Source organism: Homo sapiens, chromosome 20, assembly GCF_000001405.40.
Source record: "Homo sapiens chromosome 20, GRCh38.p14 Primary Assembly".
NCBI classification, from domain to species: Eukaryota; Metazoa; Chordata; class Mammalia; order Primates; family Hominidae; genus Homo; species Homo sapiens.
In genome coordinates this window covers 38,539,386-38,563,254 of record NC_000020.11, presented here as the reverse complement: position 1 = coordinate 38,563,254, position 23,869 = coordinate 38,539,386, and the positions used below count along the sequence as shown (strand labels likewise).

At 38.8% G+C, this 23,869-nt stretch overlaps 1 protein-coding gene across 13 annotated transcripts in view, besides 1 other annotated feature; it reads right to left on the bottom strand.

Moving 5' to 3' along the window:
• The window catches only part of RALGAPB (Ral GTPase activating protein non-catalytic subunit beta), a 106,016-nt gene that overhangs the window by 15,604 nt on the left and 66,543 nt on the right, over nucleotides 1–23,869 (bottom strand). For all 13 annotated transcript variants that reach the window (NM_020336.4, NM_001282918.2, NM_001282917.2 and 10 more), the window contains 8 exons: nucleotides 23,297–23,479; nucleotides 22,063–22,214; nucleotides 16,825–17,012; nucleotides 14,460–14,566; nucleotides 12,032–12,184; nucleotides 9,179–9,388; nucleotides 4,802–4,960; nucleotides 558–723 (listed from right to left, as the gene is read on the bottom strand). In NM_020336.4, the coding sequence (NP_065069.1) occupies nucleotides 558–723; nucleotides 4,802–4,960; nucleotides 9,179–9,388; nucleotides 12,032–12,184; nucleotides 14,460–14,566; nucleotides 16,825–17,012; nucleotides 22,063–22,214; nucleotides 23,297–23,479 (1,318 nt within the window). The remainder of the gene's footprint in view (nucleotides 1–557; nucleotides 724–4,801; nucleotides 4,961–9,178; nucleotides 9,389–12,031; nucleotides 12,185–14,459; nucleotides 14,567–16,824; nucleotides 17,013–22,062; nucleotides 22,215–23,296; nucleotides 23,480–23,869) is intronic.
• Nucleotides 2,049–2,565: an enhancer, noted in NCBI's record as "H3K4me1 hESC enhancer chr20:37189333-37189849 (GRCh37/hg19 assembly coordinates)". NCBI's record gives its function as "activates a minimal SCP1, AML or CMV promoter by ChIP-STARR-seq in primed H9 embryonic stem cells {active_cell/tissue: H9 hESC(primed)}" and the evidence as "EXISTENCE:reporter gene assay evidence [ECO:0000049][PMID:30033119]".

The window sequence follows — 23,869 nt, the reverse complement described above, 5'->3', positions numbered from 1 at the left end:
ATTATAAAAAAGGAACTTATCAGCATTGTAATAAGCCAGTCATTTTGTATTAACTCTATCATTATGTGTATACATATCTTTCATATACACTGAAAATGTCTAGAATATATAAACTGTTACTAAGTTACCCTGTCAGGACTGGGATTAGGGGAAGGATACTTTTCCTCTATATACCTCTGTTTAGTTTTTAGAGACAGGGAGTTGCTCTGTCACCCAGGCTGGAATGCTGTGGCATGATCATAGCTCCAATCCCTGGCCTCAAGTGATCCTCCCACCTCAGCCTCCTGAGCAGGTAGGACTACAAATACATGGCCCTCAAGCCTAGAAATGTTTTCATTTTTTGTAGAGATGGTGTCTCGCTATGTTTTCCAGGCTGGTCTTGAACTCCTAGCCTCAGTCGATCCTCCCACCTTGGCTTCTTGAAGACAGGCATGCGCCACTGTACCCAGCCTGGTTTTGTATTTTTAACAAGACTATAAATCACAGTAAAGGGGGAAAAAAAAAAACAAGACTAACAAACAAGAAACAACTGACATTTGAAACACTGTGAGTTTTACCTTGTTGAGATCCTTCACCATCATCACAACAATTAATAGACCAACTGGTAGAAACATGCCCAGTCCAACCAGGGTGTCTGCCCACATCTACTGACCAGCCAAGGGAAAGCAAAAATTCTAGGAAATGTGGCTGAACAGTTCTGGAAGACTCCACATTCTTTAAAATCTGAAATACATACCAATCATCAGCTATAATGAAGGAAACAAAATAATATATCAAAATAAATCTTCATAAAAATTGGTTAGTTTTGAAGCTTCTGACAAATCATGTCCAAGCTCAGAATAAATTTGAGGATATATCACTATAGAGAAAAATGCATTCTCCAGAGTTAGACAGATTTGGATTGGCTGAGCCTTGGGCAAGTTTCTTAACCCCACTGCCTCAGTTTCTTAATCCATAAAGTAGAGATAATAATAATGGTTGTGAAGTAATGCAAGAAAAGCCCTGAGCTCTCTTCCTGGCAAAACAATTACTGAACCAGGCATGTTTACTAAAAGACACTATGTCCCTGCCTTCACAGAGTTTACTGTCTGGTTAATGAGAAACATTACATAGGTATGCAATTATTTAACTATAAATCTTGATAAATGCTATAAAATCTACTAAAATTCAATAAACATTAGGTGTAATTAATAAATGAGTATGAAAATATCCTTTTCTTAGGCCAAAGAAGAGAATTCCAGGAAAAATGAAGTGTCCAGAAAGTTCTCTCCTCTTCACTAAGCACTAAATGTAATGCGTGGGGTTTCTACTGGCCTCACAAAGAGTCCTTCATTCTAAAACAGTGCTTCTCATCTAGGGGTGATTTTGCTCTTCAGCAGACATCCAACATTTGGAGACATTTTTGGTTGTCATAACTGGTGAGGCACACTACAAATATCTAGTGGTAGAGGCCAAAGATGCTGCTAAATGTTCTAAAATACACAGGATAGCCCCCGTAACAAAGAACTTATCTGGCCCAAGATGGCAATAGTGCTGCTCTTGAAAAACTCACTTTTAAAGGAAGGAAACTAAGAAATTCCCTTGCAAATGAAAAATAAAAGGGGGAGGGTAGAGAGCAGAGTATATCAAAATCATCTGGGAAATCTCCTAAAAATAAGGTTCTCTTCGCCTGCTCTAGACCTTCTACATTAAAATCAGTGAAGGCGGAATCCTGGAATCACTATTTCTAAAAATTCCTCCAAATGACTGTGATGCAGCCAGTCCACAAATCACTGATGTCATTCATACAATGCTAATCTATACCAAGATCATACAGAGGCCTGTGAAAGTCAAAATATAGGAAGTTACATTCATTACATCTGACCCACTGCAAATCATCTCAAGGTCATTACCTCTTAAACACAAAACCAGACTATTTTTTCTTTTCTTTTGAGACGGAGTCTTGCTCTGTCGCCCAGGCTGGAGTGCAGTGGCGCAATCTCTGCTCACTGCAAGCTCCACCTCCCGGGTTCACGCCATTCTCCTGCCTCAGCCACCCGAGCAGCTGGACTACAGGCTCCCGCCACCACACCCAGCTAATTTTTTTGTATTTTTAGTAAAAACGGGTTTTACCATGTTAGCCAGGATGGTCTCGATCTCCTGACCTCGTGATCCGCGCGCCTCGGCCTCCCAAGTGCTGGGATTACAGGCATGAGCCACCACACCCGGCCTAAAACCAGTCTCTTTTGAAGTGAACCTATTTAGTTTACCCATATCCCTTCACATTCTTATGGACGCCAAGAAACTGACTTAACAACCATTTCTAGTTTTTGCAATTCAAATTTTTATCTAGAAGTAAAACTTTTAAATAAACAATTTTTGAAAATTTAGTCAAGAAGCAGTAAGTGAATCAAATTCAACTTTCATGCCACTTGCTGGCAGACAGAAATTAATCTTAATCTACCCTACGGCTAGGGAAGGCAGGTCTTAGACATTCCAAAGGAGATCTCAGGAAATCTTCATTAATTCCTAGTCACCCTCAGCTTCTAAAAAGCTAAGGAAACTGAACTGGGTTAGGAGGTGCCTCAAGGGTTTGTGTCTTCTTGTACAGGCAGGAGAAAAGTGGCTCCATTATTCTTATACAAAACAATGCACTGATTTGCTGCAAAACAGATCCCCACCTCCATAATTAATCCAATTTTACTGAGCTTCTTCTAAAACACTTGACTCCATCGGTCTCATCTCTGGCTACCCCCAGCCCACCTTCTCTTAAGCTCCAAGCATATTAGACCCCATAATGAAATTCATGAAGAAATGCTCTCTTTACCCTGAAGAATTTACACGTTATTATTATTTTGTCAGTGACAATCTGCTTCTACCTCCTTACCTACAGTTAAGGCACACCTTAAATACCAGCTAGAATATCTTTTCCTCCAGGCCACCTTCTTAAAACCAGATTAGGTTTTCCTGCTATGGCTCCTATAACATGCTTTAATGACCCTATTAACACCCTTTACAATGGTTGTTTGCTTATTTAATCATCTGCCTTCCCTTCTATGCAGTAGTTTTAGGGGGCCAGAAATCTTGTAGATTTTGTTCGGCACTATAACCCTGGTACCTAACAACAGACACTTCTTAACTTTATTGACTCAATAACAAAAAAAAAAAACTTTCTCATAAATCAGTGTTCTTTTCTAGGAGCTCACAAATCATTTGAAACAGTGCTTCTAGTGTAAACATTTGGAAACTTTGGTAAATTTCTTTAGGCATGCTAATTTGATTAGCTGATTGTCTTAAAATGACTACAGTAAAATTCCAGGATCATGTAGTCACAGTGCCCTACACATCTGAATACGACATTTTACAAGTCTTCCTTCGGCTCTTTCCTAGTTACAGTCAGTAACTTCCTGCCTATTCCATATTTCAATTATTCCTTTCCAAAAAGCACTTCAAGTCTCCTGCCATTTTGCTCTCAGTTTTCCATTCTCACCTATCTTACATTTTTCTTCGTCCTTCTCTTAGTCTCTTTGTTCCACGTATCCAGGTATGTTTTACTTAGTCCTTCTGTTTTGTTTTGTTTTTGAGATGGAGTCTCACTTCTTCGCCCAGGCTGGAGTGCAATGGTGCAATCTTGGCTCACTGCAACCTCTGCTTCCCGGGTTCAAGCAGTTCTCCTGCCTCAGCCTCCCAAGCAGCTGGGACTACAGGTGCCTGCCACCACGCTGGCTAATTTTTGTATTTTCAGTAGAGACAGGGTTCCACCATGTTGGCCAGGCTTGTCTTGAACTCCTGACCTTGGGTGATCCATCCGCCTCGGCCTCCCAAAGTGCTGGGATTACAGGCGTGAGCCACCACACCCGGCCAGTCCTTCTGTTTTTCTCCTTTATTTCAGGTGTTATTTCTCCCACTGCACACTATGCATTCCTCAACTGAAATGATTTGCTTCTGAAATTACTAGGAAGGTGAGCTGCTTCTCAAAAAGGAAACTGTTACTCACTTCTATATCCTGGGATGCTGAGCCACAGGGAAGATGTTCCATAAATATTTGTTGCTATTGTTTTATTCTTCTTGAGCCTTACTTTAACTTTTATGACTAACCTTCGTTATTTCAGTTTCTTTTGTCTTGTGAATCTGAATTCCTTAAGGGGAAGAAAGATATCCTACAGCTCCTATTTAAATCACATTCCTTAAGGGTCAAAAGACTCAGGACTCTAAGCATCATAGTTTTCATTAATTCTGTTTTCAAACTGGTTCATAGCAAGTCTTTAGGCATCAAGTACAAAATACTTCTTACCATAGACAAGTGCATACCATGTAAAATTTTGTATATGAAAATGAAACTTTTTAAGGAATGTGAGTCTCCCTCAAATTATCATGCCTAGAAAGGCACTTTTTTGATAGCAGTCACATCTCACTCCCGCTTGAGCTAAGTAATCACTTTGAAGCTGCGTGCTATATGGACTCTAGACTGTGTGTCACCACCAACAGTTCATTAGCTAATCTAACAGTGCTGGACACCATAGCTCATATCCTACAGTTCAATAATTTATATCCACTCATTAATCAATGTTATTTCTGTAAACCAATGAGAAGTCCTGAAAAACAACTTTTGTAATTGCCTACTCTCCTGACTCATCCTTTTTATCTTTAAAAACTTGAGCCTCTCCTTTGTTCTTGGAAGCACTTTCCAGCACTTCCCAGGCTGCAGTCCTCAACTCTGGCCCAAATAAACTCTCCATATTAATTTTGCCTCAATTTTTTTCTTTAGACGTGTATTTATAGCACAAAAACATACCAAAAAAAAAAAATTCGTAACTCTTACCTCTTGGTTCGTTTTCTGACCTGGCTTCATATAGAAAATAAAAACTGTGTCAAAAGGACGACATGGCAAGAGATCCAGATACCCAATGTCATCAAAAAATCCAGGTATCGTGGAATCAAGTGCAATAAGGTGAGGAGGTAGACGACTATTTGCAGGTTCCTGCCACCAAAAGAAGAAAGGAGCAATTATTACCTATTTTCTTTCATTGTTATAATTATAAAAACAATACTTGCTCATGGTTTAATAAAAATAAAATTAAAAAATATAGAATGGTAGGAATAAACACAACCATAATCCTAAACTAAAGAAACTATTTAACATACTTCCTTTTAGTTCTTTTATTTGCCTCTTTTTAAATTAAAGACAACTGAGATTATATTGTGTATATAATTTTTGGATCCAGTTTTCTCTATAATATTGTGCTTTCTAGAACTTACTTTTAATGTACTTTTTTTCTCATTCCTTACTGGTGAAATGCAAAATGGTACAGCTACTTTGGAAGACAGTTTGGCAGTTTCTTACAAAGCCAAACACAGTCTTACCATGCAATGCAGCAACTGCACACCTTGGTATTTTCCCACAAACATCCACACAAAAGCCTGCACACAAATGTTTATAGCAGCTTTATTCATAATAACCAAAACGTGGAAGCAATCAAGATGTCTTTCAATAGATGAAGGGATAAATCAACTGTGGTGCATCCATACAATGGAGTATTACTCAGCAATAAAAAGAAATAAACCACCAACCCAAAAAGACACATTAAATGCATACTGAATGAAGAAACCTTAAATGCATACTGATAAAAGTGAAAAAAGCCAGTGTGACAGGACTACATACTGTATGATTCCAACTATATGACATTCTGAAAAAGGTAAAACTATAGAGAAACAGTACAAAGACCAGTGGCTACTAGGTGTTGAGTGAGGAGTGAAGAGGGAGGGATGAATAGGTGGAGTACAGGGGATTTTTAGGGCAGTAAAACTATTTGTACAACTGATGGTAGACACATGTCATTATACACTTGTCAAACCCCAGAGACCTGTACAGCACAGAGTGAACCCTATTGTAAATCACCGACTTCGGTGAGTAATGCACCAATACAGGTTCATCAGTCACAACAAATGCACCACATCAATGCAAGATGTTGATAACAGGGGAAACTGGGCTGTGGGGAAGGTGTATGACAGCTTTCTACCCTTTCTGCTCAATTGTTCTGAAAACCTAAATCTTCTCTAAAAAAATTAAGTCTACACATTTTTCAAAAATGCATTTTTGTTTTGTTTTCCTCTTAATCCCCTATCTTCTTTGAGATCTTGATCTTGCCAAACAAGGTTTTGCTAACCATAGTATATCTTTCAGGAAAGCATCCTCCAGAGAAAGCAAGAATGACTGTCTTTCACACTGACAAGGATTGTGAGTCTAGCCTTCTAGTCAATTACATAACATTCCTAGCAAGGTCTAGGGCAATATTCTAATAAAAGACATTAATATTTCTGCAGTCAAACATAAGTGTATTCACACTAAGTGACATAAAACTACAAACAGCCTCATGTCAATTCAGGTCCAATTTTGCCACTAAATGAATTTACTACAAATATATAAAAAATTTTCCAGTTTTCAGTTTTTACGTTGAAATCATGGAAAAGGAACTGTGGACCTGAAGCATGTTGCAATACACCTTGTAGATCAGAATGTCCCCATTCTTCTTTTTTTTTTAAAGTAAGGTATTTCCTCAGCTTGTTCTTCTGTGTGATCTTCTAATCCAGGAACATAACTCATACATATTTTATATCTCTTAATAATTGTTAAAAGTTTCTTCCTCTAGGTCTTGTACATAGTTTGTTAAGGTAACTTTTGTCAATATCACAGCTGTAAATGGGGCATTTTTGCATTGTATTTTTAACTGAATATCATAGACATAATCATTAATTTTTGTACTTTTTTGTATGGCAACCTTAAGTCTCATTTATTTTAAATATTTTATTGATTTTCTTACGGTTGTCAAACTAGAAGTCATACTACCTACAAACTGTCTTCTCATTTCCAATGATTTTTACCTCTTAGTTTAACATTTCATTGACTTTCCTCATTTTTATACTGTACTGTAGTTATATAAGAATTTATCATCGCAGGAAGGTCCTCATGTCTTTATTTTGCAATTTCCTGCTAATCTATAATTATTTAAAACTAGAAAGTTTAAAAAACGTCATTGACTAAAAAATTCTCTTTGTTAAATAGTAGTCAAGATAGATAACTTTTACCTCTGATTTTAACAAAAGATTCCTCTAGTTTGCTCCTGGGTTTCATTAGAGGAATCTTTTAAAGTAAGAACCTACACTAGTAGTGCTGGCTTAGTTTGTTATTTTTTTAAGAATCAGAATATGATTCTAGTAAATACTGACTTACTGTTTCACTGACTGAACTGCTAATGGGACCAAATTATTTTCTTAATAGCTTTATTAATATTTCCTGGTAATTAATTGCTAAGTTCCTGGGATAAACCTTATTTGATCATGGAAAACAATTCACTTAACATGCTATTAATTCAGAACTAAGTCTGCTTAGCATTCCCTTTAATACTTTTGTACATACATTCATAAGTAAAACTGGTTTGTAGTTCTGTATGTATGAGCTGTCAGGTTTAAGTTATTAGAAATATTCTAAGGTTCATAAACCAGGTAACTTTATTTTTCCTATGTTCTCATACAGATGAGAAAGCATGATAATTATTTTCTTAAAAGCTTAAGTTTCAACTAGAACAGATAACAGAAGTGGAAAACTATAATCTCAGAAACAAGGCTATTAGGGCCTTTCTTGTGTCCCTGAAGTCCATAGGAAGCATTAATTTTCTTCTAGTATATTTTTATTTACTGCTTCTACTCTGTTCAATTTTCTCCACTAGGAATATCACTAATGATTTGCAAGTTGTGTCTTTTTTCCTTGCCTTCCATATTTACCACTATGTTTCTTATAATTTTCCTCTCTCTGCTCTTTTATTCTGCATTTTAAGTTTTTATGTTCATATGCTGCATCAAACTCAATTTTCTACAAAAAAAATACAAAAATACAAAAAAAATTTTCCCGCTACATGCTGAAATACAAAATCAAACAGCAATGTCCCCATTACTTTCCTACAAAGCTAAATGGCCTATAACCAGGTAGTTCCTAGGCAGTAAGGGCAAGGGACAAGTTATGCAATAAGCAACTTCTTGCTTGGCAATCTTCAGTTGTACTTTTCAAAACAAACAGGACTTAGAGTAAATTCCAAGTCCACCTCCAGACAAGTTATTTCACATATTTAAGCCTCTATGTCCACATCTATAAAACAGGAATTGCATCACTTGTCTTGTACATTTTTTTTTCCCAAGAGACAGGGTCTCACTCTGTCAACCAGGCTGGAGTGGAGTGGAGTGACCATAACTCACTGTAACCTCGAACTCTCAGGCTCAAGCAATCCTCTTGCCTCAGACTCCTGAGAAGCTAGTATTATAGGTGTGCCACCACATCCAGCTAATTTTTAAAAACAATTTTTCATAGAGATGGGGGGGTCTCGCTATGTTGCCCAGACTGGTCTCGAACTCCTGGCCTCATGTGATCCTCCTGCCTTGGGCTCCCAAAGTGTTGGGATTATAGGCATAAGCCACCGCACCTGGCTGTAAAATTGTTTTAAGGCTAATGGAATTAAGAATAATAGCAATATTTATCTTATAGGCTGGCTTACTTTGTGCTAAGTACTATACCAAGTATCTTCTATGAGTTAACACATTTAATCTTCACATGATCAATGAGATGGATACTTTTATCATCCTCACTTTATAGATGATGAGGAACTAAGACAAGATGAGAAACTCACCAAAGACCACATAGCTGGCAAGCAGTGATTCCAGGACATAAAGCCAGACAGTTTGATCTTACAAACTGGACAACATAAGAAGTGCTTGACTTACAAATACTACAGTATTAACTTCATTCTTTTCTAAAAGTGGCATGAAAGAGCAAAGTTAATTGTAGCTTATATTTTTAGTAATAATGCTTACTAGGGGAAGATTTTTAACATTCTTCTTCTAATTATCTATAGATTTCATTTATCTGTGTAATATGGGTACTGTGTTATCTAGGAAAATTCAGAGTTAGATGTATCATCAAACCAGTCCCCTCAGACAGAACTCTGAATGCATTCATGGGGTGACCTGTCCTGGAGCACAAACTATAACCTACAGCAGCACAGAATTTCATTTATTTGTATGCAGGCTAAAATTTTAACCAGTTTTTTTTTTTTTTAATTCGCTTCTATCCTGATAAAAATATTTTAGCTATTGTCAGCTGAATGTTAACTTGTGAATATATTTATTCATAAAAGTTCATGAAAATTACCTTCAGTGCTTCTAAGGACAAAAATCCAAAGTGTGAGAGAAAAAGGCGGGCTGTTTGGAATTCCTGGGCAGGAGGCGGGGGCTTGCAATCCGTAACTGGGTCAGGAAAACTTCTCTTCTGCAATTCCTCCTCACTCTGTTGCTCAAGGTGTATTTCATAAGCAATCTGCTGGGCCATGCCACTCCTTAATTTTTCGTGTCTCTCTTCTAACTGTAATAAACCAAATATTTCATTTTTTGAAACTATTATCAAACTAGTAAGGCCAATCTTAAGTGTTTTTTTTTTTTTTTTTTTTTTTTGAGACTGGGCTCTATGTTGACCAAGCTGGTCTTGAACTCCTGGGCTCAAGTGATCCTCCTGCCTTAGGCTCCCAAAGTGCTGGGATTACAGGCATGAGCCCCACTGCACCTAGCTAAGTCAATCTTAATTTTAAAATGAAAATAAAGCTACAAGCAACAAAGAAAATGAAGATAATTTTCAGTGATCAACATTGTGATTCAGTTCAATGTAGAGTATGCCATTAAGCAAACATGGTCCAAGGTTAAAACAAATGCCAAAAAAACTTCCCTATACCTTCAACAATTGCTCCTTCATGTTTTCACTGTAAATGAAAACATTCAGTCTCTGGTTCCCTTCAAATAGGCAAGAAAGGGGGCAGAGTTGTCACTCTCACCCCTCGCTTGCAGATCACTGTCCATCTTCACCCTGACGTGCTCCCTGTGTTTAATTCCTCATCTGTATGGATGACATGACTGTACTCTTAGAGACTTCTCCCACCTTTCCTTCTGATCAATCCTTGTTTAAAGTTCCATTCCCGGGTGAGTAACGATCCTTCTAACAACCTGGCTCAGAATTCTACAAGCTCCTCAACCTTCACAATTTTGGCCATCCATGAAAACAAACTTGAACCTGATATGTGCCCTGCTTTCCAGGGCTGTAAGTCTGAAATTCCCTCTCCAATCATAAGCCCCCTTGTGCAACTCCTATCCCTTCACTTCCTGAGCTCGTGCTCTACTATTGCGGTGGGGCACTCAATCCCTCCCCCTGCTTTCCCACTCCATTAGCATCCTTCTGGCTTTATCTGCTTCCCAACTAAACTGAAGCCCCCACATCTAACAGCTAAATACCCTCTCCTTAAGCACATTAAATGGCTGTGTTGAACCTCCTTCCAAATTTCCACACCTGTCAATCTCCACACCAGTCAAATTCTTTACTTATGCTTCCAGATCCCAAGGACTTTTGAAGAAAGTCAGCAGAGTGAGTTAAATAACTTCACTATAGATAATGCTACTTAACCTCAGCTGCACTGCCTGGCAATTCTTAAGAACTGTCTGGGATCCCCTATTACACTGCCAAGAACCAGGATTAAAATTTTCATAAACTTCTTCAATTTCCCTCCTTTCCTCTCTAAATGTCTCTGAACCTTCACCTACTCTCTCCTTCTGTCTTAGAAGCATCTCTTTTCTAGACTAGACTCTTGACCCTACTGCCTCTATTACTTGTAAGTCCCACTGCCCATCTTACAGTGTTAGCCAGACTCCTCTCTACTGGTTTCTTCCTTTCAATCTATAAGCATGTTCATAATCCTCACATCCTTGAATGTAAAAAAATATTTAAAAACTAGCCTTTTCTGGCCGGGTGCGATGGCTTACACCTGTAATTCTCAGCACTTTGAGGGGAGGCAAAGGAGGGTGGATCACCTGAGGTCAGGAGTTCGAGACCGGCTTGGCCAACATGGTGAAATCCCGTCTCTACTAAAAATACAAAAATTGGCCAGGCATGGTGGCATGCGCCTGTAATCACAGCTACTTGGGAGGCTGAGGTAGGAGAATCACTTGAACCCGGGAGGCGGAGATTGCAGTGAGCTGAGAATGCACAACTGTACTCTAGTCTGGGCAACAAGAGCGAAACTCCATCTCAGAAAAAAAAAAAAAAATCAGCCTTTTCTTTCCTTAACGAGGCCATTTCCTTAAGCTATAATATTACCCATTCTGTACCCTTGCCTTTACTGTTAACAGTGTAGTTTCTATTCACTGCCTGTCCCTCAATACATTCACTCCCCAGCCCTTTGAATTATCCCTCCTACTGTACACACCTGTTCTCAAAGGTCACCTAAATTTCATGCCAAAATTCAGGGGACTTTTTCTATTCCTTCTTCTCCCTGGTCTCTCCAGCATTGGAGAGTGTAGCCCTTCCTCCATTCCTGCTCTTCTGTTCTCTCATGTCCTGACATACTTCTGTCCCCGACTTCTTAAAATTCTTCTCCCTTGACCTAAGAGACAGTTATCTTAATTAACTCTCTAAATTAATCCAAAGCCAAATAAATTTTTCCCATCTTCCCAAATCTATCCTCTTCCTAATGTCTGCATTTCTGTAAATGGCACTGATATCTCTTTGTCACTCAAGCTCAAAATCTGAAATTCTTTGGCTCTTTTCCTTCCCTCACCAATTCAAGACTGCTTGGATCTACCTCCACAATACATTTTATATATTAAAATTCCATATGAGTGAAATAGTCCTTCCTTTCTTATAAAGACTTAGATTCTCATAATAGTCTCTGAACTGGTCTTCCTTTTCCAAATAACTCTACTACCAGAGTCTGATCATGTCACTACAGTACTGAAACCTACCACGAACAGCCAGGCAGCCCAGCAACACCTCTAAGAGATATGCAGTTCCTTTCGATCAGCCACAATCTATATTCGTCTTAAACATGGCAACCTCCTGGATGATGGAGGCCCATGTCATCTTAAAAATCATCTCCAACAACACTAAAAGCATTGTCTTGACCAAGGAAGTCGTAAGAATGTTTCTATTCATCCCCTTGACAACAGCTAAAAATAATGTACTTACTTCTTCAGTGACTATTTCATGCAAATCTGGAATGCTGAGATCTGCTTTCACAAAAGGAATCTTGTCCACCTCTTCAGGAAATGGCCGATGTTTCACAGAATATTTAAATCCAACGTCATTTTTAGGAACTGGGCGAGGTTCAGGTACAAAAAGCTGTTAAAACAAGTAACATTATGTTTATTACACAGGGTCCAATACCCATCTGTAATGACATGTATTTCCCTGGTCTCTTAGATGCCTGTGTTTCCCTAGGATTACATGTCACAAAAACTCACTCAGAACCTGCAAATGCTACAGATAACAGCAAAGGGAAGCAGCCTGTGCCCCTGTGTACTCTATTTTTCTAAAAATATTCATCGACTTCTTATAGATCTAATGACTGACAAATGGGCTGTGGACCTCTACTGCTGCAGGCCTGAATCTCCCACATTCAGTGGTTATCCAATGGGTATAGCATTTTGGAGCTTTAAGACTCAAACTCTCTTCCCCAGGGGCTCTCACATCATTCAATATAATTAAAGACAAGTTTGGCTTCACTGGGCATCTCTAGAAAGTGATTTTAACAAGAATCTTAATACGGCTTAATTGAGAGTATGGGCACCAAATCTAGGTCTTCACAGCTCCAAATCCATGCTTTAATATGTATATGGGTACATGGTGAACCCTAAACAAATTTTAGCTCCTTTCCTGGTCCCCTTCCTCTTCAGTCTTCAATGCTAACTTACTGGCTTACAGAGTTGATGACAGGATGTGCTCTGTACTGCCCCCTCCAAAAAAATGGAGGACTGGGTGATAAACACATCACATCTAACAGAGACATCTAAGATATTAAATGATTTTAGGCACATGCTCCAATTTTGTGGTGTCTCTCAAATGCTAGTGAAATATTAAGTCACATTTTAAATTTTTTTTAATCACATTTTTTTATTATGATACTTTAAGTTTTAGGGTACATGTGCATAATGTGCAGGTTAGTTAAATATGTATACATGTGACATGCTGGTGCGCTGCACCCACTAACTCGTCATCTAGCATTAGGTATATCTCCCATTGCTATCCCTCCCCACTCCCCCTACCCGACAACAGGCCCCAGAGTGTGATGTTCCCCCTCCTGTGTCCATGTGTTCCCACTGTTCAATTCCCACCTATGAGTGAGAATATGCGGTGTTTGGTTTTTTGTTCTTGCGATAGTTTACTGAGAATGATGATTTCCAATTTCATCCATGTCCCTACAAAGGACATGAACTCATCATTTTTTATGGCTGCATAGTGTTCCATGGTGTATATGTGCCACATTTTCTTAATCCAGTCTATCATTGTTGGACATTTTATATTTTTAATAGCAGAAATAAAAGCTTACAATGTTATAAATGAAAAGAGCAGTATACAAAATGACTCAAATTCTATTCAAGTGTTATTGTGTATGAAAAGAAAAAAAGGGAAGGAAATCCAATAAAATATTAGCAGTGGTTATATTCCTCTGGATAGTGAGTAAAGGTGATTTAAAATTTCTTCGTTATCTGAATTTTTCCAACTTCTCAAGTATTATTCACATAATTACAAATGTAATAAAATAAACTGCACCCCAAAAGATTTCATTAAATTATACACAGCATACATATGTGTGTGTGTGTGTGTATATGTATGTGTGTGTGTGTGTATATATATATATATTTTTTTTTTTTTTTTTAATTAGGCTGGGTGTGACAGCTCACATCTGTAATCCTAACACTTTGGGAAGCTGAGGTGGGAAGATCACTTGAAGACAGAAGTTTGGGATCAGCCTGGGCAACAAAGCAAGACCCTATCTCTACAAAAAATTTTAAAAATGAGCTGGGTGCCATGGCATGTGCCTACAGTCTCAGCTACTCAGGAGGATGAGGCAAGAGGATCACTGGAGCCCAGGAGCTTGAGGCTGCAGTGAGCTATGATTACACCACTGCACTCCAGTCTGGGCAACAGAACAAGACCCTGACTCTTTATAAAAAAAATAAAATTTATACAATATATTACCAATTATTATATAAGAACAAATCATATAAAACAATTTCAAACTAAGTCCTGTTGCGGACAAATCAAAAGTCCCACCAAATTTTTTTCACGTATGGTATATATCTGACTTTTATTACATTTGTAAAATTACATGGAAAAAACTGGGGCCATTGTCCACAACAGCAATTACTCCTAAGTAGATGTCAGAATCACCTGGAAAGCTTTTTGAAAAGACACCTGCCTTGAACATGTCTTTAAAGAGTAATTGAGTACATCTGGAATTCTAGGTTCCTAGATGATTCTGATATGAACCCACTGACTGAGAATCTGGCTAGGGATCAAAAATATTTATTTGATCTGTGTCTTCTGTTGGAATGTTACCTAACCTTTAAATTACAAAACACACACACACTTCCCTGTAACTTCTGATGAATACCTTCTGATTTGCTTTTGCTCCTCTGGGTAAAAGACAAAGCTGTTGTGCCCAAGCAAGTCTTCCAGACATTCCCCGGACCAGCACAGTGACAGAGGGGAAAAAATCATCTAGAATAAAATATGTATATAAAAGTTTTAATTTCAGACAACAACCATTTAAAATAAACTTGTTATCAACTGCAGAGCTTCTCATAATCAAAGGCCCAACAGTGTTTCCTAAGCTTTGATCTTTTGTGTACCACTTCTGTGGTTTCTGCCGTACCCATACCCGTGTACTGTAAGTACTATTACTTTGTATCAACCACTCTTGTGCATCTCTAAATGGAAAATCATGAATTTTGGCATGTACTAATTATATAATTTTAAAGCACATGCTTAAAAATACATAAAATAATGTTCACTAATGTATCAACTAAGATCATCTCACATACCTCCAATGGTACATGTACACATTTGTGGGAAACACTGTCCTAGTAAATACTCTTAACCTCCCAATGTTGGGAACAACTTAAGTGTAGAAAGACAGACTGGGTGTTTGCAGTGTTAGTGTTATATCTGCCCATGCCTTTGTGTACCACTGCCCACCACAGGCAGGCACTGTTCCATCTCAGCAGAAGTTCAGGGACATGATGGGGGTGTTAAAAAAAACACTCAGGATGGACTTCCCGAGTGACCCAGATCCTTTTTTTTATTCTTCCGTCTCAGATATGGGAGTCAAACGCCTTCAAACTTCTCTATAATTTCTTATTATTACAATAAACTATTAAAATGTCCTTGTAAATCTATACAATTCCAATTGCTTGTATTTTTGGTACACTTCCTATGCAATGAAATTATTTGGAATGAAAGTAGGAGAGTCTTTAAAAAGCTGGAAAAAGGCCAGGAAGCCTGAAGGGGACACTGGGATTTTGCAGACTCCTCAGCAGATGGCTTGGAGTAGGAGGCTGGAGGAATCATGAACAGGCACAGGCTAGGAAAGAAAGCCAAGCAAGCTCCATGTCTAGGGTAGAGAAGGATGAGATGCCTGTAGAAAAGACTTGGGAGTAGCAGTTCTGAAGTTAGACAATAATAAAAGGCACCATTCCATTTCACATTAATGTCACCGCATCTCACCACAACACAACAGAAGTTTATGATGGTATTCTTTTCATCTCAAACTGCAGGGAAATGTCTCACTTTCACTTCATGGATTTATGAGCTCTTACTCATATAATCAACAAAACTGGCACAGAACTCTTCACCTTTACAAAGGCAAGAAGGCAAATCTTTAATCACTGAGCAAATCCTATCACTGTGCGACAATAATAATAGAAAGGGACAATACAGGGTTTAGAAAATCTGGGCTCTAGTCCCAAGTAACCCTGGGCAAGTCATATACCCTCTGTGAGCCTGAGTTTTTTCACTCATAACTAAGGGAATTGTATACCAGGTGACTCCATGGGTCACTTTATACCCACAGATTCTGTAACCTTCACTTTCCTTCCCCTTCCCAGCAATAAGGGTCTGAGAACATGCTTCTTTTACATACTGGCTGATGCCAATTACCATCAGAAAAAAAAAATGTACTTGTGGATAGTTTGGGTCGCAGTGATAATCACATATTGTGAGATGGCTTATAACTGAGGGGGAGGGAAAGGAGGAAAACAGTGCATGTTGTGTTAATGGAAAATCACTGAAGGATTTTCAGTAGGGCACTGGCATGGTCATTTGTGGTTGAAGATGAATACTATGGTGGCAGCAAGTAGGATGAAAGTAGGGAAAACACATGTTAGAACTGGCAAGGGGTTTAGGGGTTGAGGGAATCAGAGTAGGTAGGAAACAGCTGTAATAATCTAGGTGAGAAATAATAAGGACCTGCACTTGGATGTATTGGGAAAATACAGAGGAAAGGAAAAATTCAAGGGTCCCTGGGAAGATGGAAACTTAGAAACTAATTATATAAGTGAGTAACAGGAAGGGGCAGGTAAAGATAACTCCTCAAGTTTCTAGCCTGTGTAGGTAGCACCAACAATTGATACAGAACATGAGGAGTGAGAGGGAGGGGAGCAGAGGGGCAGGATCCGAAGTTCAAGGGGGAAGAAAAAGTGACAAAGATAAACAACACAATGGAACCCACTAAAACACCACCTTTTATAAAACTACAGAGCTAGTTCAGATGCACATCAAGAGCCTTTAAAAGACTCTATGTAATATGTATATTCTATTTTTTTGCCCCCCTATTTTTCAGGTGCTATTGTCCCACAGCTAGAAATCTTTCTGACCTACTTAGAATCTGTAGGCTGTCCTTCCCTGATCCTGGAAACAGCTTCATGGTACTGGTAACACTGATTAAGCAGTAGAGAAGGCTCAAAGTACTATAAACTTACTCTGCTCATTTCCAAGAGGTTGTTCCAGCATTGCCAGGATGACACTGTTATCCAAGACAAAGTACCGGAAACTATGCTTGTTTATGGTTGGCAGCCTGGAGTATTTAATCAAAGTGGTCTCATTCACAAGACTACAAGGAGAGGCAGGACCACTAGGTGAAGGAAATGCGCCGAGCAACTGCATAATGCTATGGAGAATGGAAAAGATAACAGTTAATTCCCAAAGCAAAATCTTCAGTTTACCTTGTGCATCAATGTGTCCCCTTCCACTCTTCTGAATTTTAATTGACCACAGCCATGCTTCTTGACAGGTCAGATTTACTCCTTGTGGTGAATGCCATGGCATGCTGTCCAGACTCTCCCCTCCAAGATTAAAAAGCCCATTACCCCAGATGCATACCTGTATGTCTTTATTTCAGAGACATTTAATCTGCCTTTCCAGTCTGGTCAATATCCGGAACAGAAAATGCAGTTAGGCTGGTATAATTTGATCTTAGTGACCTACTCCCTTACCAGCAACCTATCTGATATCTTAGAATCTTGCATGGAACACAGCAAGCTCATATTCCATATGCTTTGTGACAACCGTCTCTATCCCATTTTAGAAAACCAAAGCCATATTTTCTCATTATTGATCTCCTGGTGTTTAAAAGCCATATTTTCTCATTATTGATCTCCTGGTGTTTCTCCTATTTTCTGCAAACCATTAGAGGCCTGAACTTAATGCCAAGTTCTCCTGGTCCCTGAAGTTCTGAGACAGTCTTCGTTTTAGGAGGAGAGGAAATGGAAGAAAAATAATCTGTTGAGCAATGTTGCTCTCCATTGTTAGAGAGCTTTAGGTTCAAACCTTAGAGTGAAAGAGGAGAGGCCATTCAAGCTGAGAGTTGAGATGACAAATGTGGTGCTGTAGAATACTGGTCTTCCCATTGAGATGCATATGAAGGGCCAGATGATATTAGAACCACAAGATAAAATCTTCATTTTAAGATATTTTCTTTCTGTGCTACAGTTCCTTCATTATAAAATGGGAATAATGGTACCTATCTGATAGGATTGTTATAATATTATGTGATATAGTATCATAATATCACAACAATTCACATAATATCCTAACAATAGGTACCACTATTATTCCCATATACCATTATTATTCCCATTTCATATTATATGAAATAACATTTCATATAATATCATGAACTTGTAGCTAAATTTAAAAATCCCTGTGGACCTGAAGGAAGTGCTCTGATGATGTGCTTTGCGAGTCTATCTGTTCAATATTTTTATCAAGGTATTTAGAACACACAGGATATGCTCATTAAATGTCCAGTTGCCCAAAAGCAGAGCTGCAGAGATAATATACCATAGAAAGAGTTGAGATCCAAAAGAATCTTAAAGACTAAAAATAATGAGGTAAATCTTAGATGAAGAAATTTCAGGTTTAAATGTAAAGTTCTGTGCATTACTTTCAAACACTCCCAAACAAGTCAGGATGAGAAAAACACATGAAAGGTAAACGTGTGAAAAAAAACTCAAGGATTTTAGTTGACTTAATGCAAATCATCAAGTTCTCAAAAATGCAATGCAGTCCGAGTACATTTTAATGAAAATGTAGTATTATATAGAGTTTAAAGATCATCAAATCATATCTAGAATACTGTACTCAGCTGGGTGCAGAAGGCTCACACCTGTAATCCCAGCACTTTGGGAGGCCGAGGTGGATGGATCACCTGAGGTCAGGAGTTCAAGACCAGCTTGGCCAACATGGCAAAACTCCGTCTCTACTAAAAATACAAAAATTAGCAGGGTGTAGTGGCACGTGCCTGTAGTCCCAGGTACTCGGGAAGCTGAGGGAGGAGAATTGCTTGACTCTGGGAGGCGGCAGTTGCAGTGAGTCAAGATCATGCCATTGCACTCCAGCCTGGGTGACAGGGCGAGACTCCGTCTCAAGAAAAAAATACAAAATAATAGAGTATTATACTCTGTAAACCACCTGTAAGAGGCTCATAGTCAAATCTATGCCAGTTGAGAATAACCAGGATGATAAAGGTACTTGAATCTTTGTAATATTTAAAAAAAAAAAAAACTGAAGGTAACAGCAGAAATGAACCAGAGAGAACATGAAGACTGCTTCTGGATACTGCTACTGCCTGGACAAAAAGGATTTAACGATCAAATGTATGAATTAGAACCAACGCATAGAAGTGGGAGAGATTTTAGCTCAATGTAAAGTATCAAGTTTTTAACAATTAAAATGAAATGGGCAACCTTGGGGGTTAGAAAATCTCCAAATTAGAGGCTAAATAACTTGGTACACATGTCTTAAAGGTGACAGGCAAAGGGACTGTTGAAATGACTTCCAAGAGCCCTAATCCTGAATTTGTATTAGTGTACACAGAGAGGAAAAAAAACCTAACCAGCTAATCTGCACTCCATAATTTTCTACTACGTGTTCAGCACTGTGTTGGCAAAGAGGTAAATGTGCTCCCCAGACTGGCGAGACAACACTAGCACGGATCACATGTAACCAGGTACAATCATGACAGTATAAAACTCCATGCCGTGCAGCAGGGTCAGACAGAATGAGCACGGAAGTACAGAAAAGAGTCATCTTCAGAAGCAGAATAACCAAAGGCCCCATGGAGGTAGATAGATTTGCTATAAGCACTGAACAGCGGAGGATGTAGCCAAGTGAAGAAAAAAGAGGTCCTGAAACCCAGGGGAAGAGCATAAGCAGGTATAAGCATGGCTAGTTCATAGCCACAGTGCTCTGTCAGGCCTGACAACGGCAAAACAGACAAGTTGCAAAGCAGTGGTGGAAAAGATCAGATGGTGCCCTTAAAAACCAGATTGAGGAGTTTAGACAACAAGGAAGGAAACAGATCTACTCAAGGTTTTCAATCATTCAAGCAGCAGGATCAAAATTGTGCTTAAGGATGATGAGTTTTGCAATAGAATACAAAATGAACAAGAAGGGCTAAGAGATCGAAAATAGGGCAATTGGGCAAGAAGTGAGGAGGGCCTGGACTAGGATGCTATCCAGGTTGGAGGGGATGGAGGAAATACTTTACAAAAATAAAGTCTGTTTAACTCAGTCACTGGCTCATGTACATGGGGAATGACAGAAAGATAAATCAGAGAAACAGCCAAAGTTCTGTGTTTGCATAACTGGCAAACAGCAATGATACTAACATAAAGCAGCAATTGTGAGAGAACAGAGAAATCTGGTTAGAGACACGTTTCATGATGACAGTTAAGACTGAAAACTGGAGATACCATTTGTCAAGCTGCTAGCAGAGACAAGACAGCTGAAGCGAAACAGATGAGCCATGTAGCTTACTGGTGAGGTTGAGAAGAAGCATCCCAAGACTCTACTCACCCTGAGCACATATCCAATCCTCACTGCTAGCCATGCACTCAAAGAACACCCCATCCAGGCTAGGATGGAGCAAGCTTATTTTTGTATAATGAAGAGTTTCTAGTGAGAAATGTCCCCTCCTTTCTCTCCATATCCTTCTTACTCTTTAAGACATGCATCAAGTTTTAGTTCTATGACACTTTTTTTTTTCTGAGATGGAATCTCACTCTGTTGCCAGGATGGTGTGATCTCGGCTCACTGCAACCTCCGTGTCCTGGGTTCAAGCGATTCTCCTGCCTCAGCCTCCTGAGTAGCTGGGACTACATGTGTGCACCATCACACTCAGCTAATTTTTGTATTTTTAGTAGAGGTGGGGTTTCACCATGCTGGCCAGGAGGTCTCGATCTCTTGACCCTGTGATCCACCCGCCTCGGCCTCCCAAAGTGCAGCCACTGCGCCCAGCCCTATGACACTTTTAAGGGTACCCTGGCCCACACATGGTCTTCTTTCTGAACTTATATTACTTCTAGTATTCATCATCAGCATAAGCACATGCTTCAGTAGCTGTATTCACATTTTTTTTTAATTTTCTAGCTATTAGCCAAACCTCCATCAAGTCACCGAAAGTCCAGCATTTGCATAGTGAGCAGGACTAAATGACAGAAAGCATTCTTCTAAAAATTCACTGAATGACTTAAGCCCACAGGAATAGAAACAAATCCAACTTCACTGTGCATGTCCCAAGCAAGCAACAGGCCACTGAACTCACAGAAGATGCTGGGATCTTGGTAAGGGCTGACTTACACACGAATTTTCAAGCGGTTTTGCCTGCTACTTTACTAAGACCAAGATGCCCCAGCCCACACTAACTTGCCACTCCTCCTTTCTGCTTTTACATTTTCTGAGCCTTCATCTGCACATATCCTTTCATAAGCCCCATCTTTCCACGTGTACTATGGTTCCACCTAATTTCCACTAACTGTTCCATTCAGTCCACAAATGTGGCTAAGCTGCCTTCCTTCCCTCTTTCCAGTATGCTCACTTACAAGCCAAACAAAAACTCTCTCAACTTTCTCTGCTACTCTTTTTCAAGGTACCAAACTCCCTGTCTTTACCACTTTACTACACCAAAATTCTCAAAACAGCAGTCGTGGTGCCTTTTTACCCACCCTGTACTCTGGCTTGCAGCTCAAACTTGACCCATCCTCCCAGAGTCAGGTCCAGTGTCATTTTCCTCAAGAAATGTTACTCTGACTTCCCCTTATCTGGAAGTATTCATTTTCTCCTTTCAACTCCCCAGCATTTTATTTATACCTCTTTTGCAGCACTTATTTTCCACCTAATATTATAGCTATTTGTGTTCATATTTTATCTTCCCTACCAGACAAGATGGTAGACGTAGTGGTGACTAAATCAGACTTATCTTTAAGATCCTATTCTCAGTTGTTAAGAGAGTTCATAAATCTTGGTTGAATGAACCTATACTATGTAATATAAATGGTATAGCAGAGAATACAGACCACTGAGCTGGAAAGCAGATCTAACAGTGTAACCACAGAGAGACAGACACCATCTCTGGACTTAGCTATCAAAGTGAGGGGGTACAGTAAGTCTAGCTCTAACACAGTATTACTTGAATTAACATCAAACGGTATAGAAAAAGGACTCAAACTCTCAACCCCAAGTTCCTAGTTTCTTTTGGTCTACAAAACACGTAAAAAAAAAATAGAGATTTTCTTCCCATTTTATTTCTGGAGAAAAAGTATATTCTAAAGGGGCTGCATCACGCAATGCTGAACAATCAGGAAGGAAATGAAACAACATGGATCACTGCTAACCCCATCTAATTCCTAGGCACAATCCCTGTGCGGTCACTTCCATACCATGTTAGGGTGGCTTCAGCAGCATCCTTTACCCTCATAGATGCAGGGTTTGGCTCCTTATCTCCTTTGTACTTGACCTCTTGCTCATTGTTCTTGGACTTACTTCCTGAGATACCCAGTTCCACAATCTCCAGTACTTCCTTAAGGCAGTCCTAAAAGCAGGAAAGGCAGATCAATTTTTAGAACACACCTTTCTCATGAGAAGACAAGGAAATCCATCCAAATGCTAACAGTGGTTGCGTTTTGGTGGAAGGGCTCCAGTTTCTTGGTAATTTCTTTAATGGATATATATTAACTTCATAGTAATATAATAAACTTTACACCCCCTCCCCCCAATTTCTCATTAAAGAACTAAATTTTGGTGTTTAGAGTGTTAGATAAATAAATTCAATTCAACTTTCTTGTGAAATTACTGAAGACTATAAATCACAAAAGCACAAATCTAAGAGATTAAATAGTAATTCAGTTAAGCTTGGGATAGTGTAACCACAGAGAGACAGACACCATCTCTGGACTTAGCTATCAAAGGAGGGGGATGGTTTAAGACATATTATAATATCCAAAGGAAATCTTGTCATTGACATTTTTAAGTAATTTCTGGTATTACAACTTCAGAAGCCATAATGAAAATGACTAAGATTTAATCAACAATATTATTCCTTAAACTACATAAAGGTTTCTATAAATATCCAATGATCTCTCCTTTGATTTGCACTGTGAATTCCTTATAACACCTGCTTCCCTATAAGGAAGACATTACACAGAACAATGGTAGGGAACATGGACTAGTTATCTGCATCCACTTGAGAATGAAGAAATGAGTATGGAGTAACATTTTTCGATAGAAGCAACCTTTATAGATGAGCTGTGCTCTAGGTTTGCAGCCTGGCAATCATCTGCCCTTCTTTGTTTGGTGAAGGGTGACCAAAGTGCCTACTAGCTATCTCCAGGCTACCATCCTTTCAAGAAAGAACAATCTTGATAGCTCAGATAAATTAGCCAAGGTCTCATCTTTCTAAACAATTTCTCTATGAGTTAATTTGCAACCAAATATAAGCAAAATGACAGTTTTCAAGTTGTACCCAAAAGGACAAGTGTTCCACTGTAATCTAACAAGTATTTTCAGTTTAAAGTGTGCAATACTGTATTTAAATTTAGATATTCTCTTTCAAAAGGCATTTTGCTAGCATACATTTTTGTTTTTACTTAATGGTTTAAAATAAAATAAACTCACCTTTTCATCAAGCATATCAGGGTGCTCTGTCAGCCAGACACAGAGACACTGAAAAGCTGCCACTATCATGGAGTGCAGATCCCTGGAGTGTAAAGGAGCTGGCCGACTACACTGATAAACAATGTAGGTGCACACAGAACTGATGGCTCGCTTCCGGTCTCCTGAGTCAACCATCACTTTTACCTGAGCATATTCATTTGGAGAACAAAAACAATCAGCCAGGAATTACTGTACCAATTTCAAAGCATTTGCACTGAAGCTTGACCTATTTGACAATGTCATACACTACAGGAAGCCTTGCTTTTTTATATTATTTATATACAGGAACAGATTATTTCAGATGTATTGTAATACTCCACAAAAAATAGTGGCATTTTTCAAGTGCTCAAACAGTATTTCATTAGCATAGTTTTTCATGCCCTAAAACCCAAACCCATTGGGTATACCTGTTCATCATTCCCAGAGACTGAAAGAACATGGGCACATTTTTAAACCCCTAACCCAACCTCACAGTGATGCACTAGGCTCTGCAGAAAGTTCTGTGCAGCTGCTCAGAGGCATAATTGTCATAAA